Here is a 20,662-nt window from a genome sequence, read left to right on the forward strand (position 1 = left end):
CTTTCTCTTTCTAGCAAATACATGCGGTACGTGAGGGAGGGAAAATGAAGCATTCCTCTTTCTTTCCCCCATTCTTGTATCTCCCAGTCTCGGTGACCACGACAGGGTGCCATCCATGGGTGTTAAAGTGGCTTTCAACCATGTTCACAAGGGGACTTAGGTGATAGGAGTATCTGCTCTTACCCACATATGCCCCATCTCCCCTGCTGTCAGTAAACTTTGACAGGAACAGGAACTTTCCCAGGAACAGGAGAGGCCAGGCTCCTCCGCCCTGCAAATGGTACAGACTTCCTGAGGCTCCACCCCAATCTCCCAGTGCGCAGGCGGGCATTATTCAGAAAGAATCAGCTGGGAAAAGGGCAGGCTTCATCTGGGATGGGCAGCCCAGTTTTTCAGCCTTCAGGCTGTTTTAGTCTTGAAGGTGGGCTTTTGCTGGGGGACCTTTGGCTGCCTCCTGTCTCTGTCACTATCAACCAACTGGATCTAGTTGACATCTATAAAATATTTTACACAACTGTAAAATATACATTACTTTCAGGCATACGTGTAACACTCTCAAAGGGACCATATGCTAAGCATTAACAAATGTCTCAATATACATGAAAGGACTGAAATCATATAAAGTATATTCTCTGATCCCAATACAATTCTATTAGGAATCAACAACAAAATGAATAGTTGGAACATCTTCAAAATTTGAAAATTAATCATAAAGTTATAAGCCCATTGGTCTAAGACAACCTTTTGAGAGATATTAAAAAAATCATATGAATAAAGATGGAAACACAAAATTGAAAAGCTGATGGAATGTGGGTAAGCTAGTGCTTAGTGAGAACTATAGCTTTTAGCCTTAATTTTAAAAAACATAAAAAATTTAATGTTAAGAATGTAAGATTCTCTCCAAAAAACTAAAGACACACAGATCAAATCCAAAGTAATTAGAAGTAAATAAATAGTAGATCTCTGAGTGAAAAGAATGAAAAAGAAAGTAGAAAAGGAGAAAAACAGTAACTAAAATTTGTCCATTTTTAAAGATAAAGGAAGGAAAACAAAAAAAAATACTGATAGACTTTTAATTAGATTGACCAAGAAATAATGAGAGAAGAAACAAATTATCAAATTGGGAATGTGAAAGGATTCTCACTATAGAAACTGTAGAAATTTATAATGTAGGACTATAAACGGAACATTATGAACTACTTTATTCCAATAACTGTGAAAAACCTAGGTGAAATGGATAAATTTGTGAAAGACACAAATTACCAAAACAAACTCAACAAAAACAGAAAATAGTGAGATCTATATCAAAAAAATGAATTATTAGGAGACAAATGTGTAAAACTGACAAAATTTTTGAAGTCACTTTACTAAAGATCACATATGAACAGCATATACAAATGGCCAACAAAAGTGAAAATTGCCCAACATCACTAATGATTAGGGAAATGCAAAGCAAAACCACATGCGATACCAACTTACTTCTGCAAGAATGACCATAATTTAAAAATTAAAAAATAATAGACATTGGCATAGATCTTGTGAATCAGGAACGCTTTTACACTGCTAGTGGAAATGTAAACTACTATAACCACTACGGAAAACAGTATAGAGATTCTTTAAAGAACTAAAAATAGATCTACCATTTGATCCAGCAATCCCACTATTGCATATCTATCAAGAGGAAAAACCGTCATTAAATGAAAAACACACATGCATGCACATGTTTATAGCAGCACAATTTGCAATTGCAAAAATGTGGAACCACCCTAAATGTCCTTCGACCAACAAGTGGATAAAGAAATGTGGTATGTGTATATACCATGGAATACTACTAAGCCATAAAAAGAAACAAAATAATAACATTCACAGCAACCTGGATGGAAATGAAGACCACTATTCTAAGTGAAGTAACTCGGGATTGGAAAACTCAACATCGTGTGTTCTCACATATAAGCAGGAGCTAATCTATGAGGATACAAAGGCATAAGAACGATATAATGTTTTGGGTTTTACATTTAAGTCTTCAATTCATCTTGAGTTAATTTTTGTATAAGGTGTAAGGAAGGAATCCAGTTTCAATTTTCTGCATATAGCTAGCCAGATCTCCCAGCCCCATTGATTAAATAGGGAATCTGTGTATATATCCAAAGGAATATAAATTATTCTGTTATAAAGATACGTGCATGCATATGTTCATTGCAGCACTACTCACAATAGCAAAGACATGAAATCAACTCAAATGCCCATCAATGATAGACTGGATTAAGAAAACGTAATACATATACATCATAGAATACTATGCACCCATAAAAAGGAATGAGATCGCGCCCTTTGCAGGGACACGGATGGAGCTGGAAGCCATTATTCTCAGCAGACTAATGCAGGAACAAAAACCAAGCACCCATGTTCTCAGTTATAAGTGGGAGCTGAACGATAAGAACACATGGACACAGGGAGGGGAACAACACACACTGGGGCCTGTTTAGGTGTGAAGGGGAGAGCATGAGGAAGAACACCTAATGGATGTTGGGCTGAATACCTAGATGATGAGTTGATCTATGCAGCAAACCACCATGGCACACGTTAACCTGTGTAACAAACCTGCACATGCACCTGGCACTTAAAAGCTGAAGGAAAAAGACAAAAAGAATGATATAATGGACTGAGGACTGGAGAAGTGTGGGAGGAAGGTGAGGGATAAAAGACTACACATTGGGTGCAGTTTACACTGCTCAAGTGATGTGTGCACCAAAATCTCCTAAATCACCACTAAACAACTTATCCATGTAACCAAAACCACCTGTTCCCTAAAATCTATTTAAATAATAATAATTAAAATCACATAATTCTTATAGTAATTTAAACATCATTTTAATAGTTCTATATCACTTGTATTGATATTTTGATATAAAATTAGACTAATTTGTCTTTCATTTTTTAATGTTTTCACTTCTTTTTTAGTTACATTTTTTAATTTGTAAAACTTTTCTGTGGTTAAAATATCAAGAGCCGTAGTATGAAAAATAAATATACATAGAAAAGACTTACTTTAGGGGCTGGGCGCAGTAGCTCATGCCTGTAATCCCAGCACTTTGGGAGGCCGAGGTGGTGGGTGGATTATGAGATCAGGGGTTCGAGACCAGCCTGGCCAGCATGGTGAAACCCTGTCTCTACTAAAAATATAAAACATTAGCCGGGCATGGTGGCGCATGCCTGTAGTCTCAGCTACTTGGGAGGCTGAGACAGGAGAATTGCTTGAACCGGGCAGGCGGAGGTTGCAGTGAGCCGAGATTGCTCCACTGCACTTCAGTCTGGGCAACAGAGTGAGACTCCGTCTCAAAAAAAAAGGAGAGAAAAAAAAGAAAACACTCACTTTAATTCTGTCCATTGTTGAATGATGGCTGCTCAAAATTGTAGAACAACTGGTTTATTGGGAAAAAAAATTGTCTGTATTTGCATCTTGGTCAAGGACTATATTACCTTGATAAAGTCTTAGTAAAGTATTGAAAGGGGGAGGGAAAATTGGGGTATTTATGAAGCTTTGGAATATGATTTAAAGAAGTTCTTTTATGAGAGAGTTTCATTACGGAGAAGCAAGGATTTTAATGATTTACATTTGGTTGAGGTGGCAAGGTGAACATTTTGAGAAGCCTTAGAAAGACTTGGGGAGTAAGCTGTCATTTTATGCCTTCTATTGAAGAGCTGAACAATTTGCTCTTTATTGAAATAAGATTTTCAGAAAGTTCCTGGAATGAAAAGTTATTTGCAACTATTATCTTCTTGGGCAAGTTTCCTGCGATTATAAAGTCATGTTGACACACATGTAGTGGAATGGTTAAATCATGAAAATGTGGACAGTATGCTGTGTGGGGGTGGATGGTTTTGGTTCTCATGTTCCACCATGATTCTCTCTGTTCCTTAACAGTGTAATTTTTGCTAGTTTATTCATTTTCCATCTGGTGTTTACTTTTTAAGAAAGCAATTGCAGGTATAGCCATTGCTTTTCAGACATTTATTAATGCTTACCACACATTTACAGGAACAACTACTGTGAACCATGCATGGTGCTAGGTTTTAAAGATTAAAATGATTTAAGGGGAAATGAGATTTTCCTCCAAAATAAAAAAACTTACTCTAACTTCCAGATTTAATTGCTAAGCACACATAATTGCACCTAAAACAGGTTGATGAGGGATTGATGAGGGAGAGTATAGAGAAGCGCCTGTGTGGCAACTCTGTTCACATTTAATTAACTGTCTATAGATGGCTGCTACCAGCATTGATCAAATGACTACCTATACATATTTTACTCTTACACAGGAAAAAATTAAATTGGATCATGATATAATATTTATATAACTTTTTACCACCCATGTTTTAAGATATAAATTCTAGATTAATGGAGAATACATCAATTTTAGGCAATTTTACTAAGAAGAGCAGATATTGAAGAACAAAAAGAAACACTCTGTAAATACAGGTGTCTACTCGAAGGTTCATCGAAATTTAAATTTGTTGTGAATTCTTCACAATGAGACTTTTCATTTTCATTAGAATTCTTGCAGCATTATTATTCCAGGATTGGAATACAGTTGCATATGATAATCTTTGTTTCCTTTATAATAACTATGAGTGACTCAGTTAGGAATTCACCTTGGCACAGGACTAAGTTATTTCTGATCTACTCAATGGAGTGTATGTATTTAGGATTATTCATCCTTGTTTACTTAATGTGGTTTTCTTCACACATTGTTTTTTAGATGTCGTTTGAGAGAAACAAAACCTTTAACTCTTACTGAGAGGGAAGATGAATTTTCTAACCCTGGGATTTGGCTGCTCACTGAGTGTACACATAATAGATGGGTGCTTCCATTGTATTATTAGGGGCATTCAGTAGAGGGCCTCTCATCTACCAGGGCACAATTGAGTATTCCTGATTATTGATTTGTTTATTTGTGTTTATATATTTGTAATTCCCCTTTAAATACTAATATTATCAAGTGTTCTACCACATGTGATTTCCCTGTTCTGAGCTGTCTAACATTAAGTATAATGGCCAAACCCCATTTTCTGTGGGATTTGGGATTCTTGACCTAAGGACCACCCAGCACCATGCCCCTGAGACCTCCCATCCTGAACACAGCTAATCGGACTGGAGAAGTCCATCTGAGGAAGAGGAAGCAGTTGTCTTCTGTAGTCTGACCAGGAGATTAGCAAGAAGTCTGGCCCAAAAACTCTGCCCCACAGGTTTCTCTACCAAATGGTGAAGGCCAGGTGTTCAGTTACTTTTTCCTAAGGTGTTGAAACGTAAAGCATGTGGAAAACATGCAAATAGAAACAGCAAAATGGAAGCAAACAGAGACCATGAATCAGTAAAATCCATGAAATTAAGGGAAGTGAAAATCAAAGTCGGAAAATAGTGGCAGCCGCTCCACAGTAGTGGAGCATGAGGGTAGGTTATCTTCAAGTAGTGAGGTTTGTGTAAATTAGATTTCTTTATATTTTCTCTACTTTTTAATGCTCTGCAATTTAAAAAAATGTTACTTTTGTCATCAGGATAATATGTTCAAATTTTTAAAAAGTACCTAAAATTTTAAAAAATCACTAGCTTGATTTAACTAGATTTTCCTTTGTTTATCATCATGACTCTGCAAAAGCTGCAGCATCTGCTGCTTTATGAATGAAGTGCTGATTAGGCAAGCAAAAATACAGTTTTCCAGACCTCACATTTAGGCAACTGTTAAAAGCCTAGTTTCCGAGTCAAAGCCAGATATAAATTTCTACCCTGTGTCTCAACTCAGGGCCAGTTATGGATGGTGGAGAGTTTGAGATACTAGTGGTTAAGTTTAATTTCAGCTGCCTGTGTTTGTAACCATTTGACTTTATCTAAGGAAGGCAATTCTACACCTTCTCTCAATAATTTTTTTTTTCCACTTGGTTTTCTCTGACATAACTGAGATCATTGACATTCTGACTAGAGCCTAAGAAATTTCATGTATGTGTCTGATTCAGTGGTTCAAGGCCTTAAAGATAAGCCTTTAATTCTGAGGAAGAGCCTTTAGCTTCTCCCGTCTCTTAATACAAACCTGATTCATGCCAGGTTTGTCTAGGGGCTACGTGGATGGTTAATAAAAACATGTAATTTCTATCCCCCAAATTGTACCTATTTAGGATTAGATTTCAGAATCTTATTTGAAACTTAAACAGGCTTTAGAAATAATTTTGTCCCACTCTATTATTATAGAGATGAATAAATGTACTTTCAAGGCAAGTAGAGCGACTTGCCAAGATTACAAAAAAATGTCTGCGACAGAGCCGAGTCTAGATGTTTATCTTCTAGTTTCCAGCCAGATACTAGTTTTATGGCTAGTTTCCGCCATGCTCTGAGGGAGGCACATTTTCCATCATCTTTTATCTCAACACTGAATACTGTTTTTGACACATAGTAGGAAATCAATTAATACTATTTAAATGAATACAAATACATGATGTAAAATATATCAGAGAAGTCTATTATGTGTTTTCAGACAAGCTTTTATTTCTACAGTGTATATTTTTATGAAACTGATATGTATTTTTTTAGACTAATGTGCACCATCAAATAGCACTCATTTTTGAAACATTTTGAGCGTGATATGTATGTACCATCAAACGGAATTGAGTAATATCTGAAGTTGTACTGGGCACTCTGCCAAGATTTGTCCAAAGAAAGTAATGTGAAATTAGCTTTGCCTTTCTGAATATTTACAAAATCCAAGCAAAAAAAGAAAAATCCAAAGGGAAAATGCTGATCTCTGGAATACTTTGGACAATTCATGCATCAAAAGCCAACTGCAGAGCCACTATTTGCAAGTCAAGTCTCAAGATGGTATACTATCTCCAGGAAAAGGCTTGGAAGGTAAGTAAGCACTACTGTTGACCCCAATATCTCAATTTCCACGGAGAAACCATATTTGTTAAGATGCAGAGAGATCTCTCTAAAGTGCTATTGCCGAGATTAAATTTGAGCCATCTGAAGGCTTCGTCATTATCTTAGATCTTAGCCTTACTTGTGCCTTATTCTGTTCTTTAACTATCACTTATGCTGCAAACTGTGATCCTATTGTGATTTTACCCTTACTAGGTGGTTTTCCTGGTAAGATAAGTATTTGATTCTGCTCAAATTTCTCCTCTTGCCTTCCTAACTGGTCTCAATCTTTCTTTCTGCTTAGTATCATTCTGTCTCAGCACCCGTTTATCTGGCTGCGCTTTGGCCAGTTTCATTGTTTATGATTATTTGGTTTTGGTGCCTGCCTATATGATCAGTTCAAGTCCTAGCCGTGCTGGAAAATTTCTGGCCCCATTACAGACCAGACATTTCCACTCACAGCTGCTTCTGTATCTATCACAAGTATGCATTCATGCCCATGTGCATCAATCCTATATCAATAGTTGTTTCTACAGAGATAGCCTCTGAAGTCCATCCTTTTGTATATGGTCATAGGTAAACTGAAAATGGGAAGTAACAAGGTCTCTGTTAATTAAAAGGTCCATTAAGGGCTCAATGCCAAAAGTTGGATACGGGAAAGCTTGCCAAGTGCACAAGGTTAGAAACTTAATTGCACTTCTCTTTACCAAGATTTCTATCAACTGCAGTTCTCAAATATATGACCTTCCTTTAATTTTGTACTGATGTATAAAATGAGGATTTTGCCTGTTTTTGTACTTGCCATTTGGAGGACATATATGCATGCCTGCCATAAGTGGAATTTACATATGTATATGTAAAACTACGATTCTTGGCTTTATATCAGTGGAAAAATAAATCAGATTATGTAGATAGATCTGTCTTTATACCTGATTTGCTTTTATATATATATATATATATATATATATATATATATGCACACACACACATACATTCATATTTATTTTAATGGGCAAAATATTTGAGAATATTTACATGAAATTTTTTATGTAGTAATCTAATTTTGGAATTGCACTATTTCTTTTGTAGAACTCCAAAAATAATCAGTACACAAATTTGAAAGCAAAACAGTAAACTTGAAGTCATTTTTGGTTACTCTATCTTCTCAGAATACTGAGGTAATTAGACTACAGGGTGTCCTTCAATACTTGAAATTATATTTTGCTGTTTGCAATTAAGATGCACTGCAGAATATGTTGTCATGGAATGGCCACCCCAATGGCTGTCAAGCAGACATTTTTCTTAGCCAAGTCACACAGGTAAGTAACAAGGTAGATTCAAGGTTGATAAAAAGCAAAAGCAAATCCACACTTATTGGTTTCCTGGTGTGACATTGAGTATACTTTGGGATTTCACAGAAGGGTTAGTCAGAGTATTCCTTCCTATATTTTGATCAGTTGCTAATACAGGTTTGATTCCTCTTTCAAGTAGAAATGACTCAGCTATAAATTTATAGCTGCCTCTGTAGGTAGTTAATGCAGGTGGATAAGCAATATTGACAGCATGACTAAGTCTAGCCAAAGCAGGTGCATGAAAAATTATTAGTCCATTCTGCAAAACCCTAGGCCATCTATTCTGTAGGATTTATCTGTCTTTTCCATTCCCGGTATCAAGTTCTTAACTACTAAATTAAGCTTATACTGAAGAGGAGGAGCTAGGAAAATCTTCCTTAGATATTCAGATACTCAATATTCCATTAATCGATTAATTAAACAAGAAATCAATTAAATCACAATTTATTTGTGCACTTTTCATGTGACAAGCATTTCGCTGGTTCTGATCTCACAAGAGATAAACATAAGAAACCATTTCTGCACACTGAGAACTCAAAGGTTTTTGTGGGAGTCAGACCAGTTATGAGGCTGCGTTCCAGTTTCAAAAATAGCAGTTTATATAAAGAGATTGAAATTTCTGAGAAGATTAATAGAATTCAGACCTGAGAAGACCGCTCAAGTCAAGGGACAGTGCCAGAAGCGAGCATACCCCTAGCTGTGTTATCGCTGCCTGGTGATATCCTGTGGGTCTTTTTATTTTATAATATTTCAGAGATGTGTTCTGTAACTCATATATAGGGAGTCAAATTCTGTTATTTCTATTCATGCCTGGCATATAAGACTGATATGATCTTACTGTTAGACTTTTCATGAAGAATGGATGTTAGATTCAGGTATATATTTTTGAAGTTAAATGGCCCTTGTTACAGATGTACCAGAGCTCCCCAATATAGAAGCAGTTCTTCCAATATTAATTACTATGTGTTGTATATTACAAGTTGCCAAGGTACCAATAGAAAACACACAAAGTCACTGAATGGAAACCCCCCAAATAATGTAAAAAATATCACCTCTTTTAGCTCTTAGAAAATGATGTCGACTTCTTTCTAAAGGATATTGTTACTGGAGGGATGAGGAAAAAACTCAATTTGGAGGAAATTAGAAAATAATTTGCAGTTTAGAAGGGGGTTATCTTATATACATGTTGGTAATAATTCAACATTAACAATAAATGTTATAATAACAACATAGTTATCATAGTAAACTATTTTATACCAAAGCAGTAGTCCCAGAACTTAACACATACTAACTTTTGATTCTTATTACAGTGCTATGATGTAGGTATGTATGTCACCCCGCTTTAGATATAAGAAAAAAAGAGGCAAAAGGAGACCAAGTTTTTCCAAAATCACAGCTGGTAAGTGTCAAAGCCTAGATCAATCTAGATAGCCTGGTTCCAGGTGCCTTAGTCTTAGTCTTTTCAACTGTATGCTGCCTATGAATTTATGATACCTCACTTCTTCTCCTATGCTGTGCTCATGGTAGTTTATGTTAATTTTTCAGTTAAAACATTTGTCTTTTCCAAGTGTGCGGTCATGCCATTGGTCTATTTTTATACCACTACCTTTGAACTTTTCTCCGTCTGATGTATTTCTCTTATCTACATGTGTAGATCATTACCTCCAGAATAATAGTTGTAGCAATGGGCATTGTTGCCCTAATGGGAATTCTTCAATTGTCTTCCCCAATATGTGTGAGTTGGCTTTGAGGTTAAGCTAAATATATCTTACAGAGCTAAGGTTTATGTAAGAAATCAACTTCAGAAATCCAGCTGAAAGTCAGTAGTGTGAAGAGAGGTAGTCAGAATGTAAATCATTTCAAAGGTAGAGTTGAGAGCATTTCTTGATAGATTGGATGTGATGTGTGCAAGAGAAACAGAGGATTCAAGGATGACTCATTTTTTGATTGTCATTGTTTTTGGTCTGGCCAGCTAAAAAGGAGAATGTATTACCTACTAAGATGTGGAAGGCCTGGGAGGAGCAAGTTTTGAAGAAAGGTCGAGAATTTATTTATTGCTGTATGTATTAATCAGGGTTCTTCAGATAAGTAGAACCAATAGGGTAGATACGCAGTGAGAGAAGTAGTGAAAGGTGGAGAAAGAGAGTGAAGAGTGAGAGACTGAGAGAGAGAGAGACTGTTTTAAAAAATGGCTTAAGGGTTTGTTAGGATGAACAAATCTAAAATTTGCAGAGCAAGCCAGGTACATTGGCTCACATCTGTAATTCTAGCACTTTGGGAAGCTGAGGCAGGAGGATTGCTTGAGCCCAGGAGCTCAGGGCCAGTCTAGGCAACACAGCAAGACCTCATCTCATATTTATTTTTTTTTAATTAGCTGGGCATGGTGGTGTGTGTCTGTGGTCCCAGCTACTTGGGAGTCTGAGGAAGGAGGATCACTTGAGCCCAGGAGGTTGAGGCTGCAGTGAGCTCTGATCACAAACACTGCATTCCAGCCTGGGTGACAGAGTGAGATCCTGTCTCACACACACAGAAAAAATAATTAATTAATTAATTTAAAAAACTAAAAAGCATAAACAATTAAAAAATAAAGAATAAAATAAAATTTACAAAGCAGGCCAACAGGTTGGAAATTCTGACAAGAGTTCATTTTGTAGTCTGAAGGCAGTCTGGGGGCAATATTCACTCCTCTTCAGTGAACCTCAGTCTTTTGTATTAAGGCCTTCTAATGATTGTATGAAGTCTACAAACAATATGAAGGGTAATTTGTTTTTACCAAAGTCTACTGATTGAAATGTTAATGACATCTAAAAAGTACCTTTACAGCAACATCTAGTGTTTGACCAAACAACTGGATGCCATAACCTAGCTAAGTGGACATGTAAATTGACCATCACAGCATAGTAAGTTTTGGATGCCTACTAGACATCTAAGATAAAATTTCAAATAGCCTGTTAAATACACACATCTAAATATCAAGAGAGGAATCCAGGCAAGAGACATACATTCTTGGATTCATCAGAACACAGATGTCAGTGAAGCCTTGGCTCCTGGTTCCGCAGACTGTACAAGAAGCATGGTGTCAGTATCTGCATCTGGTGAAGTCTCAGAAAGTTTTCAGTCATGGCAGAAGGAAAAGGGGAGCAGGCATGTCATACAGCAAGAGAGACAGCAAGAGAGAGAGGGGAGGGAGGTCCAAGATTATTTTATAACCTGATTTCTAATGAGCTAGTAGAGGGGAGGACTCACTCTTTACTCTTTACTGCAGGGAAGGCACCAAGCCATTCATGACCCAAACACCTCCCACAAAGCCCCACCTCCAACACTGGGGATCACATTTCAACATGAGACTTGGAGGGGACAAAATATCCAACCAGTATCAAATGCTTTACCCAATTTAGCACAGTGCCCAATTTATTAAAGTAAGTTTTCAAACACTTCTTTAAAAATAGGTGATATCTCTCTATTCCTGATGACTTAAATAAGATGAATCAATTTTACCCCAAAACTGTGTATGCTGCTTGAATGCTACAGAAAAGAAAGAACTAAAATATATTTTAAAAATATCTAAAACCATTAAAATGTCTCCTGGTGATATTTAAAATTAGAAATAGGGCACTACTTATTTAAGTAGTATATTAATAATGTGGGAATTGGTTGAATCTTTACCTCTTGTGGTTCTGGAACTTTCCCCTTGCAATTGTATATATCTGTAGATGACTTACATTATCCTTAACTGAGGGAAAAAATGTGTTATGGAAGTATTTTTGATTCTGGTTAATGCACTTTATATAAAATGCCAAACGTAAATTATTAGAGGTAAAGATGAGGCTTTGAAATTTTTATGAAATATTTCGGTCCAGAACTTGGTTAACCCAAATCCTGTCCTGCTGATCATGCATTCTCCATCTGGAGTTCCTGAGAGGCTCTACATCTGAGTATCAGAGTATCACTTTGATAATCACTATTTAATGTCTTACAGTATAGTACAGACCTTTGGACAAAGGATGAGGTGGTACAAATGGAGTAGACACAAGGCCTGATGAGAACTTTTTAATTTATTTTCCCCTTAATGTGTGTCTTACTACTGGTATAAACAAGCATGCTTGCAGGAAGGAGAAAGAGATGGCTAAAACAAAATCAATTTATCCATTATGGATTAGAGTCCATGTATAACAGAGAGAAAGAGCTATTTTCACTATAGATAGCTTCAGATTTATGGCTCAAAAACTATGCTGCTGGATTGTGTCAAACAGTTTAGTAAAAATGAAATATTATTCTCTCATTTGGCATAAGACATCATGTTGCTCGGGCACAATGAGTGATCCTAAAAATATAATATGGTTATAGCTTCTGTTAATCAAGAATGAGGTAACCAGCAGCTTCTGAAAACAAAGACTGGTAATGATGGAGATCTCCCTTGAGACATAAATCTCATCTGTGATCAAAAGAAGAGTAGCCTTGGCTCCTTTCTGGGGATCCCTGGCAGCCATGATTTTTAAGACACATTAACAAACAACTCTGTGGCAGCAGGAACTTCCTGGGAAGACAACAGTAGAAGGACCAGAGTAGAAGATGGGGGAAAATATCGAATACCTAAGAACACAGAGGAAAATATCAGATACTCAGAAAAATATCCAATGACTAAGAAATAACTCAGAAGACAGCAGGATTTCACTAGAGTAGATGGGGATAGAATCTAGAAATACGTAATTTTATTGTTATAAGATATATTTCGTAATCTTTCTCCCTGAAATTGGAAGCAATGCAAACACAGGGCTGCTGCAGCCTCTATTCCAGAAGGCAACCTTTCTACCCTGTAGTGTAGTGGCCCTATTTTTTTTTTTTTACTTCTCTTTTTCCCCACCTTTCTCAATTGCTTTTAATTCACCAATTATATATTAAATCTCTACCATATGTTCAGTGTCAAACTATATGCCAGTGTAAATAATTGGTATTACCCTTCACACATGGTATGTCTAGGTCCAGAAATATACAAATATATGAGTAATATGAATTGTTTAATATTATAAAATCTTCCTCAGCTGCCATGTTCAGTGGTTGTAAATATACTGTGGAACTATGAATGGAAAATAGGTGGAAACAAATAAATGTATGCTCAGCAAATTAAAAAATTCTAACCATGTTCTTACTGCTAAGAACTTTCTACCTGCATATATTCCTGGAGTGTCAAACCTGAAAATGATCTTCTGCAACATCAGTTTATTTATATTAATTTGTATCTATTAGACTTAGGAAAATAGTATAAAAACAGGAAGGAATTCCATGAGGGACTAAATGAAATATAAATTCGTAATATTTTTTATACCTATAAAAATGAGGCCAGGTGCAGTGGCTCATGCCTGTAACTCCAGCACTTTGAGAAGCCGAGGCAGGCGGATCACGAAGTCAAGAGATTGAGACCATCCTGGCTAACATGGTGAAACCCTGTCTCTACTAAATGTACAAAAATTAACTGGCAGTGGTGGCATGAGCCTTTAGTCTCAGCTACTCAGGAGGCTGAGGCAGGAGAATCGCTTGAACCCGGGAAGCAGAGGTTGCAGTGAGCCGAGATTGCTCCACTGCACTCCAGCCTGGCGACAGAGCAAGACTCCATCTCAAAAAAAAAAAAAAAAAAAAAAAAAAAAGCAAGGATGTCAAATTTGGGAACTATTTTCTATTTGAAACTTTCCTTCTGTCTCTAAACAAGTTTAAAAGCAGCACCCCCACCTCTCAAATGCCCTTAATAGACAATGTAATATAAATAGGTACTACAACTCACTAGGTTTGATTCCTGTAGAAGATGAAAAGTGACTGCTCCACGGCAAGCCACTATGGGAGATTCTTTAACAAACTCAAATGGATTCGAGAGGGAAAATTGTTGATGCAAAGCTGTTTAATGAGTTCTGTTACTGTGAAGTGAAATCAGTCCTCCCAAGGATCATTCACTGTGAGAGGCAGAATGGAAACTTCCTAATGTCATAAATTGTTATACCGATATTTATAGCAAAGGCAACATAGAACTCTGGAGTTTGAATTAGTTTTTTTCTCTCCAAGAATACATTTTTAGTATTAGCTGTTTGTTTCAACCTGGGAAGTTTTAGAAGTTATTTCTATCTGGGCATTTTCTTAGCTTGACAGTTTAGGTAAGAAGTCTGTGTGGCTATGCCAGTAGCATATCTCTTTGTGACAAGAACATGCATCATTCTTTGGCTGAGCAAAAGACAAAATTATTTACTCAAGATAAGCAAAGATTATTGGAAGGCTGAAATTGCAAATGATGAAAGTTCTACCCATAGATTTTGTTTGCCCATGACTTTCATTCTGTCCTTGCAAATAAAAGAATAACTTGATATATTTCATTGAATAATCACATTTTATATTTCCAATTTACTTTATTAAAATATGATTTTAGTCCTTTAAATAAAGTTGAATTGAGAACAAAGAGAAAAAAATAATATCCAATAATGTCAGTTCAGATATTGTGGGTTAATTTAAGGATGAAATAAAACTATATAAATTTGTCCATGTCCCCATGAGTTTCTCAGTGTTTTGAGGTTTTGCTCAGATTCATTTACACATATGGAAAACTTTTTAATATCTACATAAGGGATTCACATTCGAAGGGATTTCATTTTATCCCTCAGTGAAATGAAATCCCTTCAAATGTGACTTCCTTACAAAGTCTGGCCATAGTCTTGAATTATCTTAGCTGCATTTTCTCTAAAGCGTCACTGTCCAACTGAAATATACTGTGAACCACAAATGTGAATATGACATTTAAATAGTCTAGTGGCAACATTGAAAAAATAAAACAGGAAAATAATTTTAATGTGATATAAACATTTAATATAACATATTTAATATATTTAATGTAAAAGAAGTATACTTAATTTTAATAAAATAATCTAGTTAACCAAATATAAATGTTAACTTTTCATCATGTAACGAATATATAAGAATGACCCATGATTTATTTTGTCTTCTTTAAAAGAGGTTTATAATCTTTGCTTACAGATATTTCAGTTTACACTAGCCACATCTGAAGTACTCAAAGCCAAATGTGGCTAGAAAGACTATTGAACAGAGACGCTGTATGGTACATATTCTTATTAGATAACTATTATTTAAGGAAGTAGCATAAGAAGATATTTTAAATGCTAATTTAAAATTCTAATGACAAAGCCATGTTTTATATGATATGTGTGAATAAAACATAGTCAGATCTTTTAAGTGAATGTTTTCTTTGTATATAGAGAGAGCTGTTTCTGTCTGTGGAAAATTTCTGCTGAGGAAAGAACTAACAAATGACAAAAAGAACGGCTTTGCCTGGGACAGTAGCAGAGGAAACTAAGAAAAAGGATGTCCTAAAATGAGTTAAGAAAATTTTTACTTAGACCCTGGACATCATAGATTATAAAAGGAGCATTTAATGACAAAAATATCATAATGTCTCAATGTACAGTGAATCAATAGTACCTTGTGGGACTGTTGTCTGATACTAATTGAAACACAGTATTTGAAAGCTACAGTTGTTTGGTTTGAGTATGACTGTCTTCATCAGCAAGAATACCTTACATAGTGTCTGTTCTATTTGCTATTTTTTTTCTATTCTTAACTTTTATGGGTTTATCTTTGGCAAAAGCTGATTTTATAAGGAGAAAATCTATAAATTGCATTCATGGTTATGCCAAACTCCTCAGGTACAACTATCAAATACCAGCACTTTCCAGGGAAGATTGTCTTCAGGATCTGATCATTCAGCATTTTACCAGAATTGTTGTTGGAATCTATGGAGCCACAGTCTCTGTTGGACTCTATATAACTTTCCTCCAACCTGGTCAGAACCATAGCTAATCAAGTAATAAGACATTATGACAAGAAATACCCCTTACAAAGACAACCAAAAGAGTCAGCATCCAGTATTGTTAAAAACAGTTCCAAGTGTAACCAAATGTTTTTACTTCTCAATATTTTTTTAAAGTAGCATTATTATATGTAAAATATAAGCTTTGTATGGCAGTAGTTTTTGCATTAAGCCAGAACTTACTATTTTTCCTGAAAATACTTACTAATGTACAGAACTTTTTTATTATAAAATAATGATTGGATTAGAATGTATCCTAATGACTTTCAAACATTTAATTTTATTATTTTCTAAAATGTTATTAATTTTGCCACAGATTATTCTGCCTTAGTGTACTGTCAAGATAAATTATCAGCAGATAGGAAAACAAAAAAAAAGAAGTCAAATTTTTTAAAAAAATAAAGAGAAACTATTGACATGGCTCCTAGAAGTCTGTTGAATCCAATTATTGCTTTGTAGTCACTTTGTTACTTCTTGTTTGCCTCAGTTTTATATTTCTTTTGTCTAGGAGGGTGTATTTTTAAAATATATATAGATAAGGATAAATATAAATTAAAATTGAGAACCTTAAAATGCATATGCACACTCACTTGTACAATGGGATGATTAAAAATGTGTTTAAATGATGGAACATAGGTAGCTGATACATCTAATATTTAAGACCTCACCTTTACTTCATTGGTACCAGTCACTAAGATAAAAGGCATATTATTTATTCCTAAGATCAATTTAAGTGATTTGAGATTCTGACTAATAGATTATGATTAATCGTCTGTAGAAAGGGATTGTGTTGAGTCTGCACTAATGGGTACTCTACCTTGTCTAACATCCCTGAAAGGTAAAACATGAGCATCTTCATCTGAATGGAAGAGAGAAGTAGAATCGTTGGGGAATGAGTGGAGAATGAAGATAGTGCCTCTGAAATGCAGATAGCTTTCTGTGGAATTAATCAGTGAACAAGTTCATAAAAAGGAAAAAGGCAGAGATGAATGAGGGGCTCTAGCAGAAACTGCAATTGGGTAGAGGTGCTGGCCCCTAAAAGGGTTTATTTAATAATCTAATTGACTGTTTTCCAGAGAGGAGTTATGGGTTTGCCAACTTGCATGAGGTGGCAAGGGGTAGTTGGATAGATGGATGCTAGACAATTCTAGAAACGTATCTAGGCATTAAAAATGATTTTGAATTTGCTTACAAATGCTTACTTTCAACTAAGTACTATTGTGTACTCTGCTAAAGTATAATTTTTACGTTGTTTTTGTTGCTGCTGTTTTGTGAGGGGAGGGAAGGATCTAATATTATAGTTTCTAATGTAATTCTAAGGTACTTACCTTTTCACTAGCAATGACATTTCTAGTAACCTAGCCTTCAAAATTGCTCATTCTCAGAGGTATATTCATAACAGTATTTATTATAGAATTATTTACAATGAGCATAAATTGAAACTAAAAAATTAGGTAACTCTTTATAATAGAACACTATTCCACCTAAATGAAGCACATGTAGTATATGTTGAAAATTAACTCAACCATTTTTCATTTCCCTTTTAAAAAGATAGATAAGTGGTTGATTCAGTAATTGATAGTGTATTTGGCCATTTTTGCATTGCTATAAAGAAATACCTGAGACTGGGAAATTTATAAATAAAATGGTTTAATTGGCTTATGGATCTGCAGAGTGTACAAGCATAGCACGGGCATCTGCTCAGCTTCTGAGGAGGCCTCAGGGAGCTTTTACTCATGGCAGGAGGTGAAAGGGGAGGAGCCATGTCACATGGGAAAAGCAAGAGCAAGGAAGAAAGGGGAAGGCGCCACATATACCAAACAACTAAATCTCGTGAGAACTGACTTAATACCATGAGGGCAGCACTGAACTAATGAGGGATCTGCCTCCATGACCCAAACACCTCTTACCAGGTGCCACCTCCGACACTGGAGATGACATTTCAACATGAGATTCTCACCAGGTGCCACCTCCGACGCTGGAGATGACATTTCAACATGAGATTCTCACCAGGTGCCACCTCCGACGCTGGAGATGACATTTCAACATGAGATTCTCACCAGGTGCCACCTCCGACGCTGGAGATGACATTTCAACATGAGATTCTCACCAGGTGCCACCTCCGACGCTGGAGATGACATTTCAACATGAGATTCTCACCAGGTGCCACCTCCGACGCTGGAGATGACATTTCAACATGAGATTCTCACCAGGTGCCACCTCCGACGCTGGAGATGACATTTCAACATGAGACTCTCACCAGGTGCCACTCCGACGCTGGAGATGACATTTCAACATGAGATTCTCACCAGGTGCCACCTCCGACGCTGGAGATGACATTTCAACATGAGATTCTCACCAGGTGCCACCTCCGACGCTGGAGATGACATTTCAACATGAGATTCTCACCAGGTGCCACCTCCGACGCTGGAGATGACATTTCAACATGAGATTCTCACCAGGTGCCACCTCTGACGCTGGAGATGACATTTCAACATGAGATTCTCACCAGGTGCCACCTCCGACGCTGGAGATGACATTTCAACATGAGATTTTCACCAGGTGCCACTTCCAACACGAGATGACATTTCAACATGAGATTTGAGTGGGGTCAAACATCCAAACTACATCATTCTGCCCTTGGCCCCCACAAAATTCTTATGCTTCTCACATTGTTAAATACAATCATGCCTTCCCAATAGTCCCCCAAAGTCTTAACTCACTCAAGAGTTAATTCAAAAGTCCAAAGTTTAAAATCTCATCTGAGACAAGGCAAGTCTTTTCCACCTATAAACTTGTAGAATAAAAATTAACTTATTTACTTACAAGATACAATGAGGTTATAGGAATTTGGTAAACATTCCCATTCCCAAATGGAGAAATCAGCCAAAAGAAAGGGGCTGCAGGCCCCATGCAAGTTCAAAACACAGCAGGGTAGTCATTAAGTCTTAAAGCTCCAAAATACACTCCTTTGATGAAATGTCCCACATACAGGGCACACAGCTGCAAGGGGTGGGCTCCCAGGGCTTTGGGCAGCTCTGCTCCTGTGTCTTTTCCGCACTGAAGTTTCAAGCTGCTGTTGGCACCACCCGTCTGGAGTGTGGAAGATGGTGGCTCCCTTCCCACAGCTCCACTAGGCAATGTCCCAGCTGGGACTCTGTGTGGGAGTTCCAACCCCGCATTTCCCCATAGCACTACCCTGGTAGAGTTTCTCTGTGAGGGCTCTGCCCCTAAAGCAGGCTTTTGCCTGGTAACCCAGCCTCTCTCATACTTTCTTTGAAATCTAGGGTGAGGTTGCCAAACCTTCACTCTCGCAGGGTGCATGCCTACAGGCTTAACACTACGTGGAAACCACCAAGGCTTATGGTGGCTTATGCTCTCTGGAGTGGCCCAAGCTGTACTGTGAGGCCTCTGAGCAGTGACTGGAACCACAGCAGCCATTATGATAGGAGGAGCCTCCTGAGGTAACACTGGGCAGTAGCACTCTGGGCCTATTCCCATACCACCAAAACCATTCAGTCCCCCTGGGCCTCTGATGGGAGGGGCTGCCTAGAAGATCTCTGAATGCCTTGGAGGCCTTTTTCTCATTGTCTTGGCTATTAGCACTTGACTCCCTTTTAGTTATGCAAATTTCTTTAGTAAATGATTGCTGCACAACCTACTTGAATTCTTCTCCTAAAAATGGGCTTTTTGTTTCTACCCCACAGCCAGGCTGCACATTTTCCAAATTTTTATGCTCTGCTTCTCTTTTAAATATAACTTCCAAATTTAAGTCATTTCTTTGTTCCTGCATTTGAAGCTGGCTGTTAGAAGCAGCCAGACAACTTCTTGAATGCTATGCTGCTTAGAAATTTCTTCTGCCAGATACCCTAAATCATCTCTCTGAAGTTCAAACTTCCACAGATCCTTAGGGCATGAACAGAATCCAGCCAAGATGTTTGCTGAGGGATAACACACATGACATTTGCTCCAGTTTCCAACAAGTTCCTCATTTCCATCTGAAACCTCAGCAGCCTGGACTTCACTGTCCATATCACTATCAGAATTTTGGTCACAACTATTTAAGCAGTCTTTAAGAAGTTCTAAACTTTCCCTCATCTTCCTGTCTTCTTCTGAACCCTCCACACTGTTCCAGCCTCAGCCCATTAACCAATTCCAAAGCTGTTTCCACATTTTCAGCTATTTTTATAACAATGCCCTATGCCTTGGTACCAATTTTCTGTATTGGGCTGTTCTTGCTTTGCTATTAGAAATACCTTAGACCGAGTAATTTATAAAGAAAATAGGTTTACTTGGCTCTTGGTTCTACAGGTTGTACAAGCATAGTGCTTGCGTTTGCTTGGCTTCTGGGGAGGCCTCAGGCAGCTTTTACTCATGGCAGAAGGTGAAGCAGGAGCTTGCACACACATGGTGAGATGAGGGGTTCAGGGGTAAGAGAGGTAGGGGAGGTGCCACACACTTTTAAACAACCAGATCTTGCAACGACAGCACCAAGCCATGAGGAAACCATTCAGATGACCAAAGCCCCTCCTACCAGGC

The 20,662-nt window shown here is 37.1% G+C and overlaps 1 protein-coding gene across 24 annotated transcripts in view, besides 1 other annotated feature; it reads left to right on the forward strand.

The window, feature by feature from the left end:
* Window positions 1-20,662, forward strand: part of DPP10 (dipeptidyl peptidase like 10) — a 1,403,140-nt gene that overhangs the window by 965,353 nt on the left and 417,125 nt on the right.
* Window positions 19,470-20,124: an enhancer, noted in NCBI's record as "OCT4-NANOG-H3K27ac hESC enhancer chr2:116185039-116185693 (GRCh37/hg19 assembly coordinates)". NCBI's record gives its function as "activates a minimal SCP1, AML or CMV promoter by ChIP-STARR-seq in naive H9 embryonic stem cells {active_cell/tissue: H9 hESC(naive)}" and the evidence as "EXISTENCE:reporter gene assay evidence [ECO:0000049][PMID:30033119]".

This window comes from Homo sapiens, chromosome 2 (genome assembly GCF_000001405.40).
Source record: "Homo sapiens chromosome 2, GRCh38.p14 Primary Assembly".
NCBI classification, from domain to species: domain Eukaryota; kingdom Metazoa; phylum Chordata; class Mammalia; order Primates; family Hominidae; genus Homo; species Homo sapiens.